This window comes from Homo sapiens, chromosome 22 (genome assembly GCF_000001405.40).
Source record: "Homo sapiens chromosome 22, GRCh38.p14 Primary Assembly".
Lineage (NCBI taxonomy): Eukaryota > Metazoa > Chordata > Mammalia > Primates > Hominidae > Homo > Homo sapiens.
The window spans coordinates 21,065,178-21,071,054 of record NC_000022.11 but is presented as its reverse complement, the minus strand read 5'-3'; the positions used below and the strand labels follow the sequence as shown (position 1 = coordinate 21,071,054).

Below are 5,877 nucleotides of genomic sequence, written 5' to 3'. Positions count from 1 at the left end.
GATGGGCCAGAGACTTGTCACACCACTGTCCCCAGCAAAGGCTACGTGTTGTCTCCTTCAGTTGATAATAAGTCTTTCTGAGATGCAGAGGGTCCGGGTCATATGTTCTCTACTGTTTTTTGATGATATTATGGCACAAACATAGAATGAGGTTTTTATGCAGGTCCTGGTTGTGCCACAGCTGAACTAACCAGGTCACTTCACCTTGAGTCAACTTCCTGGAGCTGACTTTGGTTCTGAGAAAAGATATCTGGATTCCCAGGTCTTTTACAAACAGATGTTAACACACTTCACTTGAAGTGAAAGGTGCAAGGTTTTCTACCAAGACAGTTGACAATGCTGAGGGGCAAGGTGACCGTGTGTGTGCGTGGAGGGTAAATGCTGCCTTCCAGGTTACCATGGAGCAGTGGGGGGTCAGGATGGGTGTGTTGTGACCTTCTGTGGGTCACAAATACTGTGGAGAACTCAGTAACACTTTCCCCCTTCTAAAATGTCCTGACCTTACACATTTGACCTACAGCTTTAGGGATTTCATGGACACGCCCCATTCATAGACCTCAGATTTAAACACTCTGCTTCTAGGCTCTTCTTTTTAGCCAGTACATCCCATCAATAGAAAAGCCCCAAAAATTGCAAATTCAGTTGAAACCCTGACTTAGCTTTCCTAGAATTTAGGAAACCTATCCACTCAACGCTTGGCTTGTTTCTCCTGGGTCAAGTCACTTCCATGGCAGCTCCTTAAGTACATACACTCCTGCTGCACCCCAACCGCATGCCAGCAGGGCAGGCTGGGACCCCACTGACTGTCCATGCAGGCTCTGGGGTCCCACCTGCTCCTGTAGGCAGAGCCAAGCAGCATGACACACAGAGGTCTTGGTTTTATAGAGAAACTTTAATTGCAAACAACCTGAAAGCAGCCATGCTGGGGGCGGCAGGAGAGCCCACCACACCCTCCCCTCAGTATTCTTTGCCTTCTTCAGCCTCCGCTTCCACAGAATCCATGCCCACCTCTTCATAATCCTTCTCCAGAGCTGCCAGGTCCTTGCGAGCCTCAGAGGACTCCCCCTCCTCCATGCCTTCCCCCATGTACCATTGCACAAAGGCCTGCTTGGCATACATGAGATCAAACTTATGGTCCAGGCAGGCCCAGGCCTTGGTGATGGCTGTGATGTTGCTTAGCATCCACATGGCCCATTGCAACTTGGTCAGGTTTCCCCCAGGGACCACCGTCAGGGGCTGGTAGTTAATGCCCACCTGCCAGAGAAGGGCAAGAAAGCGGTCCGTGAAGCTTGTATCAAACCTAGAAATGGTGGCTACCTTTCCTCAAACAGAAGACCCCCTGTAGGTGACGAGGAGAATGCTCAGTTCACCCCCACAAACCTCACTAAGCCCTTCTCTGTGCCAGGCAGGGTGACGGTTCCAGCCAAGGAATAAAGAGAAAAGAGCCTTGGAGGTGGCCACCCTGGCAGGATCCCAAGCTGCCCGAAGGGCTGTGTCCTAGCAACTGTGACATGTGATAGGTGCCCAGGTAAAGACTGTCTTCCCTCTGAAAATGTACACTACTTGTCTTCTTTATAGATTATTTACTCCAAAGGGTTTTACAAGATAGTAATGAAATTCTGTAGCTCAACTTTTTCCACCCAGATAGATTGTGAGTACACAACTGTGATACCACGGGGAAGGTCATACCCCCTGCTGTCCCACCAAACAAGCCACTGTGAAATATGCAAAGGTGACAGGTCAAAGATCACTTGAATGGAGCTACCACAGCAGCAAGAGTAGTCCATGTGCTTGCTTGAGTAGGAAGTGACATTCCAAGGTGGGAACCAAAAGGGAAGCATTCCAAGTTTCAGAACTTGAGAATAACACATCCTGAGTAGTGCATGGGGTCAACTAGAGCAGGGGTCAGCAAGCCTGTTCTATAAGTGACAAGATCATACAAATTCTAGGCCTTACAGGCACATGGACTCTGTCACACCTACCCCACTCTGAGGCTGGACAGCAAAATTGATCTGCGATGAAGGGGTGTGGTGGCTGTGTTCAGACAAAACCTTATTTACAAAATTGGGCGGCTAGTCCAGCAGCCATGCTCACCCCTGAAGGAGAGAAGGAGAAGCCCAGAGTAGGAATTCCCACTTAGAGCTGACTGCAGTGGTCTCCCCAGAGGCAGTGGATGTCTGAGCCAGAGGAGGGAGGGAAAGCAAAGCAGAGGACGCAGAGGTCCAGCAGAGGGAGAAGCGACAGGATTTAGTCACCAACTCCTGGAAAAGCTGAAAGGGGACAGCAAGGTTTCTTTCATGTGTCAGTGGAAGGTGGGGACAGATTTTCTGTCTGAGGCAAACACAGGCCAACATTACTAGGCTTCCCAAAAGAGAAATAAAGATGGTGCTGTTTTCGTCACAAAAAGATTCTTGATAGTCTTTCTTTAAATCAAACACTCCAAAAGACATTTAAATTGGGTATAATTTCTACAGATGAACATTCTGACTGTGCCTTCATGGGTGATAACGAAGCCACCTATGACACATGTCGGCACAACCTGGACATACTTAGATGAAGCAAGACTTAGTGAGAGCAGTTTATAATAATGCCCAAGTTAAAATATATACACCACCCACATGATTCCCCAAAATGCCCATAAAATTTCTACTAAGTTCAACCTATCTTTTCCACACAAATTCTGCTGTCCAAGCAAGGGGCACCAAAATCCTCCAAAAAATACCTTTTTCTTAAAAAAACACAAAAACCTCACCACAGATACATAGTGTGATGACTCACAAAGGAAGTTCAAAAGACACCACTGAATTAATTATCACTCTGGTTCATTGATTTATGCCCATGAGCCTAGCCCATGGAACAGGGGCAGGGTGACGGTTCCAGACAAGCAACCGCAAAGGATGCGGGCCTTTGGGGGCAGCATTATTCTGCAGATCTGCTGCTTCCTGATGGCACAAGGACTCCACATCACCCAGTCCTCCCTTCAATCCAGTCGGGCACCAACCTGCAAACTAGATGGTGCGCTTGCTCTTGATGGTGGCGATGGCCCCACTGACATCTTTCGGGACCACATCCCCTCGGTACAACATGCAGCAGGCTATGTACTTGCCATGGTGAGGGTCACACTTGACCATCTGATTGGCTGGCTCGAAGTGGGCACTGGCGATCTCGGCCACGGACAGCTGCTCGTGGTAGGCCTTCTCGGCTGAGATGATCAAGGCATAGGTGGCCAGGGGGAGGTGGATGTGGGTGTACGGCACCAGGTTGGTTTGGAATTCTGTCAAGTACACATTCAGGGCCCCAACGAATCACAGGGAGGCCGTGATGGAGGACACGATCTGCCCAATCAGACGACTGAGGTTGGTGTACATGGGACACTCGATGTCCAGGTTGCACTGACATGTCGACCATGAAGGCACAGTCAGAATGTTCCAGGGTCGTGTAGGTGGTCAGGATGGAGTTGCAGGGCTCCATCACAGCCATGGAGACATGGGGGGCTGGGCAAATGGCAAACTCCAGCTTGGACTTCTTCCCGTAGTCCACCGAGAGCCGCTCCATGAGCAGAGACATGAACCCAGAGACGGTGCCGCCCCCAAAGCTGTGGAAGATGGGGAAGCCCTGCAGTCCCATGCACAGATCAGCCTGAGAGAAACCAGACAATGTGAGCCAATGCCCGTGGGAGCCACACCACCAACCTCCACCAAGCCGGGGCCACTTCTCTTTGCCTCTGAGAGTTGCTACGGATTCAGACTATCCATAATGAACACGCATCACACTTTGAAGCAGAGAAAAGCAGACAATACAGATCTATGCACAAATCACCACGCATACTTCATAGTAAGACGTTGCAGACTTAGTCGGACTCAAGATGCTGCTCTAAGTGCTGCGAAAATGACCTTCCTTTCACCATCCAAGGCCTATTCTCCTGTGCAGGACAACGTCCACATGAAGCCTTCTCTTCTTACCAGTTTGTGGATCCGGTCCAGGACAAGGTCTCCTTGCCGATGGTATAATGGCCTCTGGAGTAATTATTGGCTGCATCTTCCTTCCCACTGATCAGCTGCTCTGGGTGGAAGAGCTGCCTGTAGGTCCCTGTGTGCACTTCACCTACAAAGAGACCACATGTGCTGTGAGTCTTTAAGGCCTACTGTACACCAAGGTGAACACGTTCCAGGACTGTTCACTTCTACAAAGTACATGCTGTTCAAAGTACATGAGCTACATGTTGTAGGTCAACAGTGGCGGTGTCTGGTAGAAAATGTCTCTGTGATAACCAATCACAAATGCAATTTAAGGCCCTAGGAAGTTAAAGTCAGTTCTTGTATAAATGTCAGCACAGGCCGGGCGCGGTGGCTCACGCCTGTAATCCCAGCACTTTGGGAGGCCAAGGCGGGCGGATCATGACGTCAGGAGATCGAGACCATCCTGGCTAACACGGTGAAAACCCATCTCTACTAAAAATACAAAAACAAAATTAGCTGGACGTGGTGGCGGGCGCCTGTAGTCCCAGCTACTTGGGAGGCTGAGGCAGGAGGACGGCGTGAACCCAGGAGGCGGAGGTTGCAGTGAGCCGAGATCGTGCCACTGCACTCCAGCCTGGGCAACAGAGCAAGAATCTTTCTCTAAATAAATAAATAAATAAATAAATAAATAAATAAATAAATACATAAATAAATGTCAGCATAAACAGTTCCCAGTGAAGGGAAATAAGCTCTCGCATCGTCCCCCAGCACTGGTAATTCTACAGGTACATACATCTTTCCTACCCTTAGCTACTACATCAAAGGCTGTAAGTTAAAAATCTCTTACAAACTGGACAGTCACCAGGTCAGTGTGACTTCTGAAGGGCAGTCCCATCAACCTGTGTGGCCTGGGTCCCACGTGCTTTCAGGTGACATTGTCACCTCCTGGGGGACACTGAAAGGTACTATCTCTTTGCAGCTCTCTTTGGAAACTATCTGGGACTTCTAATCTGGATGAAGGAAATGGATGTTCTGTACTTACCTTCTACGCCTAAGATGCACATCAAGACTCTTCATGCACCAGCATGAGACAGTGCACAGCATTCAGGAGGGAATCAATGCCCCACACCCTGCAGGCAGGGCCACCTGTGCAGGGCTGAGGCAGCCACAGGGGAATCTCTCCACAGCCCATCTTACTGCTGGCAAAGCAGCTTTTCCCATACATCCTAAATTAGGAGCTGAGTCTCACATACACTAAACATGAAACTTTCAGTTTCCGCCCTAACAATGCCATGGGCATTTGCTTGTCTATCCCATCCATTCTGCAGGGGGATTCACAGGAGCGCACGTGGGGTTTTACCAATGCTCTCCCACTCTCCCAGGAAAGCTGCCATCCAGTGCCCGAGGACCTATCAACCACAGTGGGCTCCAGGTCCACAAACACTGCTCTGGGCACGTGCTTGCCAGCCCCAATCTCACTGAAGAACATGTTGAAGGAGTCATCCCCACCACCGATGGTTTTGTCACTTGGCATTTGACCGTCAGGCTGAATTGCAAGTTCAAGGCAGTACAGTTCCCAGCGGGCGTTGCCTATCTGGACACCTGCCTGCCCCACGTGGATAGAGATACTCACTCTGTGAACCAGAACATAAATGTGAACCCGTTCATTTCAAGACAGTTTGAAACTCTATGGCATGCAAAATATTCTGTGGTGACAGAAAAAAAAAAAGAGAATGAGAACAAAGTGTGTCTGCCTATCAGGGTTAAACCTATAAGGAAGAAGCTCTTAAAAGGGGAGAATAACAAACTAAAATAGAAGGGAGAAGGTAAATAGAAGGGAGAAGGCTGAGTGAGGTGGCTGACACCTGTAATCCCTTTTCCTTTGGAAAGCCAAGGTGGGAGGATTGCTGGAGCCCAG

General features: G+C 49.3%; 1 pseudogene; it reads right to left on the bottom strand.

Annotated features, from left to right (window-relative positions):
* Positions 882-5,588, bottom strand: TUBA3GP (tubulin alpha 3g pseudogene; annotated as a pseudogene).